We start from the raw sequence: 17,840 nt of genomic DNA, 5'->3' as shown, positions 1-17,840 counted from the left end.
CGGTTGCTTTCAGAAAAACTCAGGATCGTAGTTCCTCTTAAGGACACCCGGGTGAAGGAACAACAGGAAGTTGTCTTCAACTGTGAAGTCAATACTGAAGGTGCCAAAGCCAAATGGTTCAGAAATGAAGAAGCTATATTTGATAGTTCAAAATACATCATTCTCCAAAAAGACCTAGTCTACACCCTCAGAATTAGAGATGCACACTTAGATGACCAAGCCAACTATAATGTGTCTTTGACCAATCACAGAGGTGAAAATGTTAAAAGTGCAGCCAATCTAATAGTAGAAGGTAAGTAATTTATATACCACTAGAGATTTTTTCATCAGTTTCTGTTATAAAAATAATTAAAATCAACATATTTTTCTCCTTTACAACAGAGGAAGACCTTAGGATTGTTGAGCCTCTTAAAGATATTGAAACAATGGAGAAGAAATCTGTCACATTCTGGTGCAAGGTGAATCGTCTCAATGTAACACTGAAGTGGACCAAAAATGGTGAAGAAGTGCCTTTTGACAACCGTGTCTCATACAGAGTTGATAAGTACAAGCACATGTTAACCATTAAAGACTGTGGCTTCCCAGATGAAGGTGAATACATTGTCACTGCTGGACAAGATAAATCTGTTGCTGAGCTTCTCATCATAGAAGCCCCGACAGAATTTGTGGAACACTTGGAAGATCAGACAGTCACTGAGTTCGATGACGCTGTCTTCTCCTGCCAGCTCTCCAGAGAGAAAGCCAATGTAAAATGGTACAGAAATGGGAGAGAAATCAAAGAAGGCAAAAAGTAAGCAAGATCTTTTTATTCTCTATTTCTGTAGCTATATATACACTTTTGACAATTTAGTGGCCATCATTGCAAGCTAACTGATAATCCAATGTCTCCTTTAGATACAAATTTGAAAAAGATGGAAGTATACACAGACTCATTATAAAAGATTGCAGGCTGGATGATGAGTGTGAATATGCTTGCGGGGTAGAAGACAGGAAGTCTCGTGCTAGACTTTTTGTGGAAGGTACATATTAAGTGAAAAAACAATTCTAATGTTACCAATTTTTTAAAATTGTTAATCAAAATGTAAACATATTTGTATTTATTTCACATTTTCTTTCCAGAAATTCCTGTTGAGATCATCAGGCCTCCACAAGATATTCTTGAAGCCCCTGGTGCTGATGTTGTCTTTTTAGCAGAACTCAATAAAGATAAGGTGGAAGTCCAATGGCTAAGAAATAACATGGTTGTTGTCCAGGGTGATAAACACCAGATGATGAGTGAAGGAAAGATACATCGACTACAGATTTGTGATATTAAGCCCCGTGACCAGGGTGAATACAGATTTATTGCCAAAGACAAAGAAGCCAGAGCTAAGCTTGAACTGGCAGGTCAGTCCCTTTATTTTAAAATATCCTTCCAATATCACAGAGTTTAGATTTCAGATTTCACAGTTATTTAATGAGGTAATCCTTGTGAGGGTCTTTCATTTCTAGCAAGCCCTACCCACATGTTAACAACTCTAATTTTGCTCACTACAAAGTAAGTGTCTTGAGTAAGAGGAAATTAATAGCAATAATCTTTACATGCCAGAGCCTTGGACAGTTGCTAGTACATGATGACTATTTATGAACTTAGGCTACAACTAAGCTATCACCCTGAGAGTCTTGGCAAATCTAAAGACGGTCTTATACTCTCCTACTTTACAAACCCCTGTGTGCCTTTTAGGTATGTTCTCATCCTGACCCAGGACATCCTTATACACTGTCCTTATGAAAAAGCCATTAGTGTACCTCTCATTCATAAGAAAAAAGTTTCTCTGATTTATTGAACTAAGTATGCAGTGCCTACTCTATCAAAAAACAAAACAAAACATGTTTTGCACTACACTGAGTCCTATGTTACTATTTTTGGCAAGGAATGCATGTCTTATGATTTTATGCCATTCTCAATCCTCTACTCTCCAATCTAATTTGCACGCACAACAACAACAAAAAGCTATGAGAACTCTAAGCCACTTAGTTTTCTCTGCTATAAAGTTACTGTAGCTTACTTCCAAGGTTATGTAACCAATATTTTCTAATAAATGCATAATAACATGATGTAGCTTGGCTACGTTTAATAGTCGAAAGCGTTCACATGTTATCTTTCTCACTAGCTGCACCAAAAATCAAGACAGCTGACCAAGACCTTGTGGTTGATGTTGGCAAGCCTCTGACAATGGTGGTGCCATATGATGCCTACCCCAAAGCAGAAGCTGAATGGTTTAAAGAAAATGAACCTTTATCTACAAAAACCATTGATACTACGGCTGAACAAACTTCTTTCAGAATTTTAGAAGCCAAGAAAGGAGACAAAGGGAGGTATAAAATTGTGCTTCAGAACAAACATGGAAAAGCAGAAGGATTCATCAATTTAAAAGTTATTGGTAAGCCCTTGGGTCTCTCAGACTTAATTGGCAAAGCACAATTTAAAAGCAAGACAGCACACTAAAAAAATTCCTCTATATGTGAATTTCAGATGTTCCTGGGCCAGTACGTAACTTAGAAGTGACAGAAACATTTGATGGTGAAGTGAGCCTTGCTTGGGAAGAACCTTTAACTGATGGTGGAAGCAAAATCATAGGTTACGTTGTTGAAAGACGTGACATTAAGAGAAAGACCTGGGTTCTGGCCACAGACCGTGCAGAGAGTTGTGAGTTTACTGTCACTGGTCTACAGAAAGGAGGAGTTGAGTACCTATTCCGTGTGAGTGCAAGAAACAGAGTTGGCACTGGTGAGCCAGTAGAAACTGACAATCCTGTAGAAGCAAGGAGTAAATATGGTAAGAAGTTTTAAGTAAATTCAAGTTAGCTTTTAAGTAAATTGCAGTCTTTGCCTTCATCATCGTTACCCCAAACTCATATTTTCTTCTTCTGTGGTGAAATCCAGATGTTCCAGGCCCTCCTTTGAATGTAACCATCACTGATGTGAATCGATTTGGTGTCTCACTGACATGGGAACCACCAGAGTATGATGGAGGTGCTGAGATCACAAACTACGTCATTGAATTAAGAGACAAGACTTCTATCAGGTGGGATACTGCCATGACTGTGAGAGCTGAAGACCTGTCTGCAACTGTTACTGATGTGGTAGAAGGACAGGAGTACAGTTTCCGAGTGAGAGCCCAAAATCGAATTGGAGTTGGAAAACCAAGTGCAGCCACACCCTTCGTCAAAGTTGCTGATCCAATTGGTAAGCCCATCAAAAAAGGGAAATAATTACTGCATGAAATCCAGATATTAGGCCTATCAATTAAAATAAATCAAGTTAAATGAAAGTTAATAAAAAGGTAGAATATCATAAAAATTTGGATAAAGTTTTAGAAACCCAGACTGTGCCTACTTTACTTAGTGAATTTGATAAACCTGTTAATGAGGATGATATAATTGATTACAACACTGTTTTCATAAATTGTCACTAACGTAAATGGTATGCTCCAACTCCTTCTTTTATTCCAGAGAGACCAAGTCCTCCTGTAAACCTAACTTCCTCAGATCAGACTCAGTCATCAGTTCAGCTCAAATGGGAACCTCCTCTGAAAGATGGAGGAAGCCCAATATTAGGCTATATAATTGAGCGATGCGAAGAAGGAAAAGATAATTGGATTCGTTGCAATATGAAACTTGTCCCTGAACTGACTTACAAGGTAGGTCATTTGCATATAAAAAAGAATATTCAATGTGGATCATGGACATAACTGTATGTGTTTTTTACAAATATTAATTCATAATCGTAGGTTACCGGATTGGAAAAAGGAAATAAATATTTATATAGAGTATCTGCAGAAAATAAAGCTGGTGTTTCAGATCCATCTGAAATTCTTGGTCCTCTCACCGCTGACGATGCATTTGGTAAATAGATATTTTATTTTTAGATCGGGGAATAGCACATAGCTACTTTGGGGCAACAGGGACTTAAATATGGCACTGCAAACTCATTAACTTTTCTTCTTTGTAGTTGAACCAACAATGGATTTAAGTGCATTTAAAGATGGTCTGGAAGTTATTGTCCCAAATCCTATCACGATCCTGGTTCCAAGTACAGGCTATCCAAGGCCAACTGCAACCTGGTGTTTTGGAGATAAAGTACTAGAAACAGGGGACCGGGTGAAAATGAAGACCTTGTCTGCCTATGCCGAACTTGTCATTTCTCCAAGTGAACGTTCAGACAAGGGCATTTATACACTGAAATTAGAAAACCGTGTGAAAACAATTTCTGGGGAAATTGATGTCAATGTAATTGGTAAGGAACAAAACATTTATCATCTAAGGTGATTTGGCAGTATTAACAAATATTAGTTCAGACTATTAACAGTGACTCGTGAGTGCATTTTTTTTCAGCTCGCCCAAGTGCACCCAAAGAATTGAAATTTGGTGATATAACCAAGGACTCAGTACATTTGACTTGGGAACCACCTGATGATGATGGAGGAAGTCCGTTAACTGGATACGTTGTTGAAAAACGAGAAGTCAGCCGGAAAACATGGACTAAAGTGAGTTTTGAGCAGCACTGCATCAATGCCAAAAATGAGAGTAGGGGAAATCCCAGAAGGTTGGGATGCCATACAAAAGTCTTATGTGCTACAACTTCTTACCTTTACCTCACTGAAAATGTACAAAAACTTTTTAAGAATGCATCGGTGCTAATGCTTCCTGAGGTAGCTCAACCAAGGATTGTATAATTGTAATTGTCTTGTCTTGTGAGCCTTACCAAATTTGTAATAAAAAAAAAAATTCCCTACTGACTTGGTACCTGCTAAGTACCCAATATGTACCCATTAAGCTAGAAGTGGAAAGTAAATATTTATTTCCCTGGTGGTCACACTTCTTATTCCACTAGAATACCTTAGTTGACCTAATCAGCCATTATTTCCTTGTGTTTATATTAGTTACTATTCTTTACCCTGAATTAAAATCATATTTCTGATAAGCAAACTGGTAGAATCAACACCTCATTTGCCATCTTTTTTCATGTGTACAAACTATGAAGCAGTTTTTCTTATATTGAGTCAAATATTATCATGTATCCTACTTTGCAATTTTCCCTAATATGAAATTAATGTAAGAATAATCCCTAGCATTCAAAACAACTGCAGTTTGTATCCCTGGTCATGGTAAAAATCTTTTGGGTTGGCGAAAGGGTTTTTTGGAAATAACTGATTAACTGTATTTCTTTGTCCCAGGTTATGGACTTTGTGACTGATCTAGAATTCACAGTTCCTGATCTTGTTCAAGGAAAAGAGTACTTATTTAAAGTTTGTGCTCGTAACAAATGTGGCCCTGGAGAACCTGCATATGTTGATGAACCTGTAAATATGTCAACTCCTGCAAGTGAGTACATTCTTGATGATTTCTTACCTAATCTTGTTGCCTGTTTTTGCTTTTAGACCTAGAGTTGAAGTTATGGGGCAAGGCAGGGGTTGGCAATGTGAAGAGAACTGCATAGGTGGCCTGTGTAAGACTGACTCTCTCTTCCAAATGTTGTAGCGGTACCTGACCCACCAGAGAATGTTAAATGGAGAGATCGAACAGCCAATAGCATCTTCTTAACATGGGATCCACCTAAAAATGATGGTGGTTCACGCATCAAAGGATATATAGTTGAAAGATGTCCACGTGGTTCTGATAAATGGGTTGCCTGTGGAGAACCTGTTGCAGAAACAAAGTAGGTTTTTAATTTGGCATGAGAGTAAATGTGTACTCCTAGTCACTAAAATGGGCTTTGTTGGGGAAAATTTAAATGTTTGTCTTTTTTCATTGAGAATCCTATGCTGCCGGTGTATCTGTCTGATTTTTAAAGGTGCTGCTGAATGTACTGCCTGCTCAGGGTTTTCATGACAGTATTGAAATGAAAATGTATTCAGTTATAGTGTTGAAGTAATCCAGGTTTAATTTAAAGACTAGTATTATACCAGGGGTTTGAATTTTTGAAAGATTATGAGTACTACACAATGAAACGATTATCGACATCACAGTAAAACATCCTATTCTGTTTTCTGACAGAATGGAAGTGACAGGTCTTGAGGAAGGCAAATGGTATGCCTACCGCGTGAAGGCCTTAAACAGGCAGGGTGCTAGCAAACCAAGCAGACCCACAGAGGAAATCCAGGCTGTGGACACACAAGGTATCTATTTTTGATTTTTGTCTTATCAAATAGGCCTCTGACCTTAAATCTGCTTGAACTTGATAACATCATAAATAATCTTTTCCAATTCAGAGGCCCCAGAAATCTTCCTCGATGTGAAGCTCCTTGCTGGTCTCACTGTAAAAGCTGGGACCAAGATTGAACTTCCTGCCACCGTAACCGGAAAACCTGAACCTAAAATAACTTGGACAAAGGCTGATATGATTCTGAAGCAGGACAAAAGAATTACCATTGAAAATGTCCCTAAGAAATCCACAGTGACTATTGTTGATAGTAAGAGAAGTGACACTGGCACATATATCATTGAGGCTGTGAATGTGTGTGGCCGGGCCACTGCTGTGGTGGAAGTGAACGTCTTAGGTAAGGAAGGTTCTCATTTTAAAAGGGGATAAACTCTTTGCAGTTACTTTCTTGAAAGAAAAAAATAAAAAAAATGGTGAACAATTTTTTTTTCTGCATCTGTAATGCCATACACAGATAAACCCGGACCACCAGCTGCCTTTGACATCACAGATGTAACCAATGAGTCATGTCTTCTAACATGGAACCCACCACGCGATGATGGTGGATCTAAGATCACAAACTATGTTGTGGAGAGACGAGCAACTGATAGTGAAGTGTGGCACAAGCTCTCATCCACCGTCAAGGATACAAACTTCAAGGCCACCAAATTAATCCCCAATAAAGAGTACATCTTCAGAGTTGCTGCAGAAAACATGTATGGTGTTGGTGAACCAGTTCAGGCCTCTCCAATAACAGCCAAATATCAGTTTGGTAAGTTTCTCAATCAGCTGATAAAAAAAAAAGGATGCTTATGTCAAACTTGCATTTTGGTGTCATATTTATATACAGGACATATAACATTTTACACCATTATCCTGTCTATAGATCCACCTGGTCCTCCAACTCGCCTAGAACCTTCTGATATCACTAAAGACGCAGTGACTCTCACATGGTGTGAGCCAGATGATGATGGTGGCAGCCCAATCACAGGATACTGGGTTGAAAGACTGGATCCTGATACAGATAAATGGGTTAGATGCAATAAGATGCCAGTAAAGGACACAACATACAGGTATGCTCAGAATCCCCATCAAGATGTTAAGACAGCAGTATATTCAAATGTTTACTCTTTAGTATTCCTTGGGATTACAGATGATTATATATTACTAAAAAAATTTTAAACTACTTTTACTCATATTTTCTATTACCTCATAATTTGAAAAATTATATAAATTCCATTCAAGGGCACATTTCTTAGTTTACTCTAAAATATTAACCTTCAGGAAGTTTCAAAGTGTTTGATCCCCCAGTATATTATGATAATGACCACTGTCATAGATATTATAATTAGATTGGTATGTTTGGCCCAGTCTAAAGTGTGTGGCAGTTAAAAAGCAATTTTTAATTTATATTGAAGTGCTTTTCAGTTAAATTTCCAAATCACCTTTTCACAATTTAAATAAATTAGTCTCTTCTGTGTAAAATAAACATAGGCTTCTTCTGCTTCTTACCATGATGATACACATGCACTTTGTTCCTAATTCAGAGTGAAAGGTCTCACTAATAAGAAAAAATACAGATTCCGTGTGTTGGCTGAAAATCTTGCTGGACCTGGAAAACCAAGCAAATCAACTGAACCAATCTTAATAAAGGATCCCATAGGTATTATTTATATAATTTTTGTGGTTATTTCGAAGTTCATATGAACTCCTTTTTGACAAACCTAAACAATGATTTCATTGGCTTGCAGATCCTCCATGGCCCCCTGGAAAACCAACTGTAAAAGATGTAGGCAAAACATCAGTAAGGTTGAATTGGACAAAACCAGAACATGATGGAGGTGCAAAGATTGAGTCTTATGTCATTGAAATGCTGAAGACTGGAACAGATGAGTGGGTCAGAGTGGCGGAAGGGGTTCCCACCACTCAGCACTTGCTCCCAGGGCTCATGGAAGGACAGGAATACTCATTCCGAGTTAGAGCTGTGAATAAGGCTGGGGAAAGTGAACCCAGTGAACCCAGTGACCCTGTGCTTTGCCGGGAGAAGCTATGTAAGTCACTCTTGATGTCTGGGATATATAAATTCTTCTAATATCTGCCTGTGAGCTACGATATGAGAAAATATGAAAAATTCATTACTATTATTTCCTCCTGGCTACATTACTTCTTAATGACTGCCTGCACTTTCAGACTGACTATTGGGTAATAAAAAAAAAAATGAATTTGTTTTCCTTCCTTCTTTTTCAGATCCTCCATCACCACCACGCTGGCTTGAAGTTATTAATATCACAAAAAATACAGCAGACCTAAAATGGACAGTTCCTGAGAAAGATGGAGGGTCCCCCATCACCAACTACATTGTGGAAAAGAGAGACGTCAGGCGAAAAGGCTGGCAAACAGTGGATACCACTGTCAAGGACACCAAGTGCACAGTCACCCCACTGACTGAGGGCTCTTTATATGTGTTCCGAGTTGCTGCAGAAAATGCTATAGGACAAAGCGACTACACCGAAATTGAGGACTCTGTGCTGGCCAAAGACACCTTTAGTATGCTCTTGCACTTAATCTTTGTGACAATAAGTGCTCTCGCACTTAATTTTTGTGACAGGAGATTATCACCTTTCCTCTGGTTTTCCTAATCATTGTTTATTTTATTTTCAGCCACTCCTGGACCACCCTACGCCCTGGCAGTGGTTGATGTGACAAAACGACATGTTGACCTAAAGTGGGAGCCACCTAAAAATGATGGTGGAAGACCAATACAGAGGTAGAATTTGAATTAATTCATAAAGAATAACTTACACTTGGCTGCAAATTCTTAACTGTGTTTTTTCATTAATGCTAATGAAATGCTTTGTTGTTTCAATAGATATGTCATTGAGAAGAAAGAAAGGTTAGGTACCCGTTGGGTGAAAGCTGGAAAGACTGCAGGACCTGACTGTAACTTCAGAGTAACTGATGTCATCGAAGGAACAGAGGTCCAGTTTCAGGTTCGGGCTGAAAATGAAGCTGGAGTTGGCCACCCAAGTGAACCCACAGAAATCCTATCCATTGAAGATCCAACAAGTAAGTAGTGCTGATTATACACAAGATATTGTCTAGAACTTGATGAGACTGTGGATATGAATATTTCACTCTTTTCTCAGGTCCTCCCTCACCACCCCTTGACCTACATGTGACTGATGCTGGGAGAAAACACATTGCCATTGCTTGGAAGCCTCCAGAGAAAAATGGTGGAAGTCCTATCATAGGATACCATGTTGAAATGTGTCCAGTAGGCACTGAGAAATGGATGAGAGTTAATTCTCGCCCAATAAAGGACTTGAAATTCAAGGTTGAAGAAGGTGTTGTTCCTGACAAAGAATATGTCCTGAGAGTGAGAGCAGTCAATGCTATTGGTGTCAGCGAGCCATCTGAAATCTCTGAAAATGTGGTTGCCAAAGACCCAGACTGTAAGAGCACAAGGTCTTTTATAGTTAATAAAATACCCTTTATTCATGCATTGCATTTTGACATACTCTGTTTTTTGCTCTTTTGAATGATATCTTACAGGCAAGCCAACAATTGACCTGGAGACTCATGACATTATTGTTATTGAAGGTGAAAAGTTAAGCATTCCTGTTCCCTTCAGAGCTGTCCCAGTTCCAACTGTTAGTTGGCATAAAGATGGCAAAGAAGTTAAAGCAAGTGATAGATTAACAATGAAGAATGATCACATCTCTGCACACCTTGAAGTTCCCAAGAGTGTCCGTGCAGATGCCGGAATTTATACCATTACACTGGAGAATAAGCTCGGCTCAGCAACAGCCTCAATCAATGTCAAAGTCATAGGTAATCATTCTTTGAAGAAAAACCAGACATTCTTCACATGTAGAGGAAATTAGTTAACTTTGCAGTGCTATTAATAATATAATTGGCTTCATGAACTGGCCACTTGTAAACTAAATGTCACTTCTGATTATGTCTTTCCATAGGAGAAGTAAAACAATTCTAAAGAGATGAAATCGCTAAACGCTTATTAGACTAATTTATACTAGTTTTAGTTAATTGCATGTGAAATACTAATTTAAATAACAGATATTAGCATACCCAAAGAGCATTGAAATGACCACAATTTTTTAATTGCACAGCTTCACATTTTCCCATAGTGTTCTTAACCAGGGATAGTAACATTTTCTGCATTCCCCCCAGCCCTGCAAATAATGTCTGGAAATTTGTGGGGCCATTTTTGCTTGGCACACAGACTTGAGGTAGATACCACTGACATTTAGTAGTTGGGAGCCAAGGATGCTAAATGCTCTGCAGTGTGAATGACACTCCAGCACATCAAAGATTATCCTACCCAAAATACAGATAGCCCCACTTAGAGACAAGTGCATTATTAAAATGCTGATTTTTCAGGATTACTAGAATAATTATCCATTTTTGTAATAGGCCTACCTGGACCATGCAAAGATATTAAAGCAAGTGACATTACCAAGAGTTCTTGTAAGTTAACTTGGGAACCTCCAGAATTTGATGGTGGAACCCCAATTCTTCATTATGTCCTGGAGCGCAGAGAAGCTGGGAGGAGAACATATATACCAGTCATGTCTGGTGAGAACAAACTGTCATGGACTGTGAAGGATCTCATACCAAATGGTGAATACTTCTTCCGTGTTAAAGCAGTCAACAAGGTTGGTGGAGGAGAATATATTGAACTGAAAAATCCAGTCATTGCTCAAGATCCAAAGCGTAAGTTTGGACATGGATGCACTATGGCTAAGAACTAATAAACCATAGTTTTGTTTTAAGAAGGTGGTTTTCCTGATACTAACATTTTTTTCTTGTTCTTCAGAACCCCCTGATCCACCTGTAGATGTAGAGGTTCATAATCCTACAGCGGAGGCAATGACTATTACATGGAAGCCACCTTTGTATGATGGAGGGAGCAAGATAATGGGCTACATCATAGAGAAGATTGCTAAGGGTGAAGAAAGGTGGAAGAGATGCAATGAACACCTGGTACCAATCCTGACCTATACAGCAAAAGGACTTGAAGAGGGGAAAGAGTACCAATTCCGTGTGCGAGCAGAGAACGCCGCGGGTATTAGTGAACCTTCTCGGGCTACTCCTCCAACCAAAGCTGTAGATCCCATTGGTAAGTTTTGTTTCATGGAGTTGCCACTTTCCCATTTTGAAATAAATGAAAATAATGTTTTGTCAGTTATTTTCATCAGAATTGAAAACATTTATTGGTTATGATCACTATAGATGCCCCCAAAGTCATTCTGAGAACAAGCCTAGAAGTGAAACGAGGTGATGAAATAGCACTTGATGCAAGTATTTCTGGATCACCTTACCCAACTATTACATGGATAAAGGATGAAAATGTTATTGTACCAGAGGAAATTAAGAAGCGTGCAGCACCCTTGGTTAGGAGAAGGAAGGGTGAAGTTCAAGAAGAAGAACCATTTGTCCTGCCTCTGACACAGCGTTTGAGTATTGACAACAGCAAAAAGGGAGAATCTCAGCTACGCGTCCGAGATTCTCTCCGACCTGACCATGGTCTGTATATGATCAAAGTTGAAAATGACCACGGTATTGCAAAAGCTCCTTGTACTGTCAGTGTGTTAGGTGAGTCATTAAAACTACACTTTCCAATGGAAAAAGGTTTTAGTAAAACATAAAAATAAAAAGTTTGGGAGAGAGTTAAAAGAAATGGGACATAGCTTCAGCAAGTTATCCTCAATCATATTTTATCTGCTGGCCATGTAAAAGAAATCACCTGATCTTGTTATTTATTAGCTAATGGAATACAAAGATAGATGTGGGAAAACCACAAATCATGTCAGAGGAGCATGCTCACATTTATATTTTCCATAGCAACCCTTCCCACACAAATTTTTGATTACTGTTCTCTTCTGAAATATTAGATACACCGGGACCACCAATCAACTTTGTATTTGAAGATATCAGAAAGACCTCAGTCCTTTGTAAATGGGAACCACCCCTTGATGATGGTGGCAGTGAAATCATAAACTACACTTTGGAAAAGAAAGACAAGACAAAACCCGACTCAGAATGGATTGTTGTCACTTCAACACTTAGACATTGCAAATATTCAGTAACAAAACTGATTGAAGGAAAAGAGTACCTCTTCCGTGTAAGAGCTGAAAACAGATTTGGGCCAGGTCCACCATGTGTTTCAAAGCCACTTGTGGCTAAAGATCCATTTGGTAAGTTTCCTTTGGCATCTAAAGTTTGCCTTTTTACCATGTACTTTGGTATATAATTACTACAGCTTTTAAAATTGCATTTTTATGTCATACTGGGAAATTTACTTCAAATGTTATTTTTTTATCAGGACCACCTGATGCACCAGATAAGCCCATTGTGGAAGATGTTACCAGCAACAGTATGCTAGTGAAATGGAATGAACCAAAAGATAATGGAAGCCCCATTTTGGGTTACTGGCTTGAAAAACGTGAAGTTAACAGTACACATTGGTCTCGTGTCAACAAAAGCCTTCTGAATGCCTTGAAAGCCAATGTAGATGGCTTATTAGAAGGACTCACCTATGTCTTCAGAGTATGTGCTGAAAATGCAGCTGGACCTGGAAAGTTCAGTCCACCTTCAGATCCCAAAACAGCACATGATCCAATCTGTAAGTAGTTCCTTAAGAAGAAGGTGGAGTAGAACAAGCTATTGTACATTTTAAAACCATCAGGGAGTTTGATTTGTCTATCTTCATTCATTCTAGCTCCTCCTGGGCCACCTATCCCAAGAGTCACTGACACAAGCTCTACAACTATTGAACTAGAATGGGAACCCCCAGCTTTCAATGGTGGTGGGGAAATTGTTGGCTATTTTGTTGATAAGCAGTTGGTTGGCACAAATGAATGGTCACGCTGCACAGAGAAGATGATCAAGGTCCGTCAGTACACCGTCAAAGAAATCCGAGAGGGTGCTGATTACAAACTTCGGGTGAGTGCTGTCAATGCCGCAGGGGAAGGACCGCCTGGAGAAACACAACCTGTTACTGTGGCTGAACCACAAGGTACTTAACGTTATTGGAATAAAATTATGGATATTTTCTCTATATGGGACTATTTTTTAATCTTTCATGGGCTAATGCATGACTGTTCTCTTTCAACAGAGCCTCCAGCTGTGGAACTGGATGTTTCTGTCAAGGGTGGAATACAAATAATGGCTGGGAAGACTCTTAGAATTCCAGCTGTGGTGACTGGTCGCCCTGTACCTACAAAAGTATGGACCAAAGAAGAAGGGGAGCTGGATAAAGACCGTGTTGTAATAGACAACGTTGGAACCAAATCTGAACTAATTATCAAGGATGCACTGCGAAAAGACCATGGCAGATATGTGATTACAGCTACAAATAGCTGTGGTTCCAAATTTGCAGCAGCCAGGGTAGAAGTTTTTGGTAAGGAATGTTGCACTGATTTTCACAGGATTTTCCCAAGTGATACTATCTTATTACATTGATTTTTGGCTTTGTTTTGTTTTCAGATGTCCCTGGTCCAGTTCTTGACTTAAAACCTGTTGTAACAAACAGAAAAATGTGTCTACTTAACTGGTCTGATCCAGAAGATGATGGAGGAAGTGAAATAACAGGCTTTATCATTGAAAGAAAAGATGCCAAGATGCATACTTGGAGACAACCAATAGAGACTGAGAGATCTAAATGTGACATCACAGGTCTGCTTGAGGGACAAGAATATAAGTTCCGTGTTATTGCCAAGAACAAGTTTGGCTGTGGCCCTCCTGTTGAAATAGGACCAATTCTTGCAGTTGATCCACTAGGTAAAAGAGAAGGTTTCATTGTGTTTATAGAGTAATGTTTTGCTTCTAGTTATATTATTTACTGAGCTTTATGGCTTCAAACTCCCAACAGTCTCAAAATCTATAGCTAAAGAGTAATAAGAAAAGTAAATCAAAAAACTATTAGCAACATTAAAGATATCATATTTCCTATAATTTCAATGTAATTTGTGGCTGTAAGTATATTAATCATGCATGGTTTCTTGTACTGAAAAACTTGGATCTACAGGGGCTTAATAATAACCTAGAAGTAGTTTAGACATATTATATCTCTCCAGTAGAACACATTGGAAGTCGGGTTTTTAAAACTTACTAGCGTAGTAGTTAAAGAGAATTCAATGTTCTTCTAAAAGATTAGACAATTCCTGAGAATAAATGCCTTAGTCTTCCTCTATATTCAAAAAGTCCCCATACTGGAAGGATAGAGAGGCCCAAAACCAGAAACAGCCTCCAAAGAATAGAAAACCAACCAGAGGGAATCTCCCAGAAATCAATACGAAACACTAAAATTGCACACACAGTAATGCACACTGACATCCCATCTAAGAAAGCAAAGGCTTTGAGGAAGACCCATTCCTCAAGAGACAGAAGAACTTATTCCTTCACCATCACCCCCTGAAAAAAAAAAATACATCCTATATCACTGCTGCAGCTCATCTATGAACGTCCAATATACCACAGGCTGTGCCAGAGGCACCAGAACAGAGCTGAGCTTCCACTCCTTCTGGTTGCAATAACAGTCAACAAGTATGGATTGGGTCTAGTTTTACCACTGAAAGCTTAACTCTTAGTTTGGTCCTTCAGGAAAGAAAACTTCAGCAGCATTACATACATCCTCTTTCCACCATATTTTGAACCCACATGTGAGGCAACATGACTCAAAGTATGTTCATAGACATATCCACTATCTGTTAATAAAAGAAAAAACACTTTGCTCTCAGCTGGTCATTCAAAGCAAAGCTTCACAGACTTACTTTCCTAGTTCAGTAGAATTAGAAGCATCCCCAGTTACAAAGGTAAACAATCTAAAATGTTAAATTAAAAAAGCATACGTGCCCTTGATTTATTTTTCACTGATAATCTTGATGAAAAGTTTGCTAAGAAAAATTCTGTCTACATGAATGTCTATAATTTTGGCAACTGACAAGTTTTAGGAATGATTTTAAATAAGGATGTAAGGTTATGCCAAACAGAAGGCTATTTTTTACATAATTAAGTTGAAGTGAAATATTATTTCTTACATGAATATTTATCTCATGCTAATCATTTTCACTTGCCTCTGGCTAAAGGTCCTCCAACATCTCCAGAGAGGCTCACATACACTGAAAGGACAAAGTCCACTATCACACTTGACTGGAAAGAGCCCCGCAGTAATGGTGGCAGTCCCATCCAAGGATATATCATTGAAAAACGGCGTCATGACAAACCTGACTTTGAAAGAGTTAACAAGCGACTCTGCCCAACCACATCTTTTCTGGTTGAAAATCTTGATGAACACCAAATGTATGAGTTCCGTGTCAAAGCTGTCAATGAAATTGGTGAAAGTGAACCATCCCTACCTCTTAATGTAGTCATACAAGATGATGAAGGTGCGGAATCTGAATATAATAATAATTTTAATGCATTTTACAGTGTGCCTTTATCCCATAAGTTGAAAAAAACATCCTTATGACTTTGTTACTGTTTTTCTTTCTCTTCTCTTTGCAGTGCCTCCAACTATTAAGTTGCGTCTGAGTGTTCGAGGAGACACTATCAAAGTTAAGGCAGGAGAGCCTGTCCACATCCCTGCAGATGTGACAGGCCTTCCAATGCCTAAGATTGAATGGTCCAAAAATGAAACTGTAATTGAAAAACCCACTGATGCACTTCAGATAACCAAGGAAGAGGTATCCCGAAGTGAGGCAAAAACTGAGCTTAGCATTCCCAAAGCGGTCCGGGAGGACAAAGGCACTTACACAGTTACTGCTTCCAATCGCCTTGGCTCAGTGTTCCGAAATGTTCACGTTGAAGTATATGGTAAGTGACTTGCTTTCTTACATCAAAAAGGCATCCAGTGTCTGTTTAAGAATTGCCTTCTCAATATTCTCTGTTGATTCCTTTCCAGACCGCCCATCCCCACCAAGAAATCTTGCTGTTACTGACATTAAAGCTGAATCTTGCTACTTGACATGGGATGCCCCTCTTGATAATGGTGGCAGTGAAATCACCCATTATGTTATTGACAAACGTGATGCAAGTAGGAAGAAAGCAGAATGGGAGGAAGTCACCAACACTGCTGTAGAGAAAAGATATGGGGTAAACTCTTCTGAATATTTTCTTATACACATTAAAAGTACATGACTCTGGTTTGATGCCATTTTAATATAACCTTGGAATTTGATAATTAAACTCAAAACCACACACGATAAGCTGTTATTTTGTTATTGTAGTGTTTAGCCCCACACACATAAGGCTCCTTAGTACATAGCGTTTGATACACAGATACTCTTTTAATTGAGATCCACTATCAGGTACAATACATCTACATATTTTTATTTTAAAAAAAGCTTTCTCCTTTTCTCTGTCTTCCCATGTTTTGAGTCTATATATTTATTTCTTCTTACAGTCATCCCTCCCAAAATAAGTTGAATTTTTAAATGAGTGAAAACCAACATAAGTATATTCTCTTCAATAAATTTCTGTTTTTCTAATTTCTAGATCTGGAAACTTATCCCCAATGGTCAGTATGAGTTCCGAGTCAGGGCAGTGAATAAATATGGAATCAGTGATGAGTGCAAATCAGATAAAGTAGTCATTCAAGATCCTTATCGCCTTCCTGGACCTCCAGGAAAACCAAAAGTTTTGGCACGCACCAAAGGATCAATGCTAGTGAGCTGGACTCCTCCTTTGGACAATGGTGGCTCTCCAATTACTGGCTACTGGCTGGAGAAAAGAGAAGAGGGAAGTCCTTATTGGTCACGTGTTAGCCGAGCACCAATAACCAAAGTGGGATTGAAAGGCGTGGAATTTAATGTTCCTCGTTTGCTTGAAGGCGTTAAATACCAGTTCAGAGCCATGGCAATAAATGCTGCAGGAATTGGTCCTCCCAGTGAACCATCAGATCCAGAGGTTGCAGGAGATCCCATATGTAAGTATGCTTCCGTTTCTGGGGACTAATTTCTAAAGCACAAAGTCACTAAATGGATAATTCTGCCTTAAATTTCTTATATTTTTCTATGCCAAATTATTTTATTTATTAAAATAAAAAAGGTTCATGTTCACATAGACTATCGGAAGTATATATTTATGTGTGTATACATACATGCACAGATATATACATACACACATACATAAAATCATACAGTTTGTAAACTCTTGGATTAAACCAAATATTTTATGAGGAATCACAATAATAAAGACCTGGACTATAAACTCCTATGTCTTCTGATACTTTAAATAAATTTCTATCTCATTAGATACTGGGGAAATCATCTCTCCCACTAAACAGTCAGACCTTCCAGTAGGAATTCAACAAAAAACAGAATGTTGTTAGCTTTTCTATAATATTATTGAACAAAGATTTAGGATTCTCAGGCATAGTCTGTGAGGTCAAATAAGAGAGAAAAATTCTTCTAAAAGATCTGTGAGCAGATTCGTTCAAAAATTAAAAAATACTGTGGCCATAATAATTCATCCTATTTGCTACATATCTGATTAGATTCTCTATAGAAGAAAAATTCAATTATTTGTTAAAAAGAAAATTTTAAATACTCAAGTGCTATGTGGAGCATATATACCTATATAATGAGGTAGTTATTCATTCATTTGCAAACTAGTATTGAACATGTGCTTTGTGC

At 38.4% G+C, this 17,840-nt stretch overlaps 1 protein-coding gene and 1 long non-coding RNA gene across 23 annotated transcripts in view, besides 2 other annotated features; one reads left to right on the top strand and one right to left on the bottom strand.

Moving 5' to 3' along the window:
* The window catches only part of TTN (titin), a 281,435-nt gene that overhangs the window by 186,417 nt on the left and 77,178 nt on the right, over positions 1-17,840 (top strand). For all 21 annotated transcript variants that reach the window (NM_003319.4, NM_133437.4, NM_133432.3 and 18 more), the window contains 36 exons: positions 14-292; positions 382-790; positions 895-1,019; positions 1,120-1,386; positions 2,154-2,423; positions 2,516-2,818; positions 2,926-3,228; positions 3,495-3,682; positions 3,773-3,887; positions 3,994-4,278; positions 4,377-4,528; positions 5,219-5,366; positions 5,523-5,700; positions 6,039-6,160; positions 6,254-6,541; positions 6,659-6,955; positions 7,070-7,256; positions 7,731-7,846; positions 7,935-8,234; positions 8,431-8,730; positions 8,845-8,950; positions 9,053-9,249; positions 9,330-9,635; positions 9,736-10,014; positions 10,618-10,917; positions 11,021-11,323; positions 11,437-11,799; positions 12,099-12,401; positions 12,530-12,829; positions 12,926-13,222; positions 13,322-13,606; positions 13,693-13,986; positions 15,294-15,593; positions 15,712-16,020; positions 16,109-16,299; positions 16,702-17,131. In NM_003319.4, the coding sequence (NP_003310.4) occupies positions 14-292; positions 382-790; positions 895-1,019; positions 1,120-1,386; positions 2,154-2,423; positions 2,516-2,818; positions 2,926-3,228; positions 3,495-3,682; positions 3,773-3,887; positions 3,994-4,278; positions 4,377-4,528; positions 5,219-5,366; positions 5,523-5,700; positions 6,039-6,160; positions 6,254-6,541; positions 6,659-6,955; positions 7,070-7,256; positions 7,731-7,846; positions 7,935-8,234; positions 8,431-8,730; positions 8,845-8,950; positions 9,053-9,249; positions 9,330-9,635; positions 9,736-10,014; positions 10,618-10,917; positions 11,021-11,323; positions 11,437-11,799; positions 12,099-12,401; positions 12,530-12,829; positions 12,926-13,222; positions 13,322-13,606; positions 13,693-13,986; positions 15,294-15,593; positions 15,712-16,020; positions 16,109-16,299; positions 16,702-17,131 (9,195 nt within the window). The remainder of the gene's footprint in view (positions 1-13; positions 293-381; positions 791-894; positions 1,020-1,119; positions 1,387-2,153; positions 2,424-2,515; positions 2,819-2,925; positions 3,229-3,494; positions 3,683-3,772; positions 3,888-3,993; positions 4,279-4,376; positions 4,529-5,218; positions 5,367-5,522; positions 5,701-6,038; positions 6,161-6,253; positions 6,542-6,658; positions 6,956-7,069; positions 7,257-7,730; positions 7,847-7,934; positions 8,235-8,430; positions 8,731-8,844; positions 8,951-9,052; positions 9,250-9,329; positions 9,636-9,735; positions 10,015-10,617; positions 10,918-11,020; positions 11,324-11,436; positions 11,800-12,098; positions 12,402-12,529; positions 12,830-12,925; positions 13,223-13,321; positions 13,607-13,692; positions 13,987-15,293; positions 15,594-15,711; positions 16,021-16,108; positions 16,300-16,701; positions 17,132-17,840) is intronic.
* TTN-AS1 (TTN antisense RNA 1) overlaps positions 790-17,840 on the bottom strand; it is a 97,391-nt gene continuing 80,340 nt past the window's right edge. Inside the window, exons 4-7 of one of the 2 annotated variants that reach the window (NR_038271.1) lie at positions 12,741-12,840; positions 6,203-6,972; positions 5,633-5,684; positions 790-1,254 (exon numbers count right to left, since the gene is read on the bottom strand). This is a non-coding gene — a long non-coding RNA (TTN antisense RNA 1). Of the gene's footprint in view, positions 1,255-5,632; positions 5,685-6,202; positions 6,973-12,740; positions 12,841-15,601; positions 16,277-17,840 lie in introns of those variants that run through there. The other variant, NR_038272.1, reaches the window with a different exon arrangement.
* Positions 5,687-6,886: an enhancer, noted in NCBI's record as "BRD4-independent group 4 enhancer chr2:179478848-179480047 (GRCh37/hg19 assembly coordinates)". NCBI's record gives its function as "activates an origin of replication core promoter dependent on BRD2, P300/CBP, MED14 and CDK7 cofactors, and independent of BRD4, by STARR-seq in HCT116 cells {active_cell/tissue: HCT116}" and the evidence as "EXISTENCE:reporter gene assay evidence [ECO:0000049][PMID:35650434]".
* Positions 12,602-13,801: an enhancer, noted in NCBI's record as "BRD4-independent group 4 enhancer chr2:179471933-179473132 (GRCh37/hg19 assembly coordinates)". NCBI's record gives its function as "activates an origin of replication core promoter dependent on BRD2, P300/CBP, MED14 and CDK7 cofactors, and independent of BRD4, by STARR-seq in HCT116 cells {active_cell/tissue: HCT116}" and the evidence as "EXISTENCE:reporter gene assay evidence [ECO:0000049][PMID:35650434]".

This window comes from Homo sapiens, chromosome 2, assembly GCF_000001405.40.
Source record: "Homo sapiens chromosome 2, GRCh38.p14 Primary Assembly".
Taxonomy (NCBI): domain Eukaryota; kingdom Metazoa; phylum Chordata; class Mammalia; order Primates; family Hominidae; genus Homo; species Homo sapiens.
Note: the sequence above shows the minus strand (reverse complement) of the source record. Positions and strands in the feature narration are given on the sequence as shown.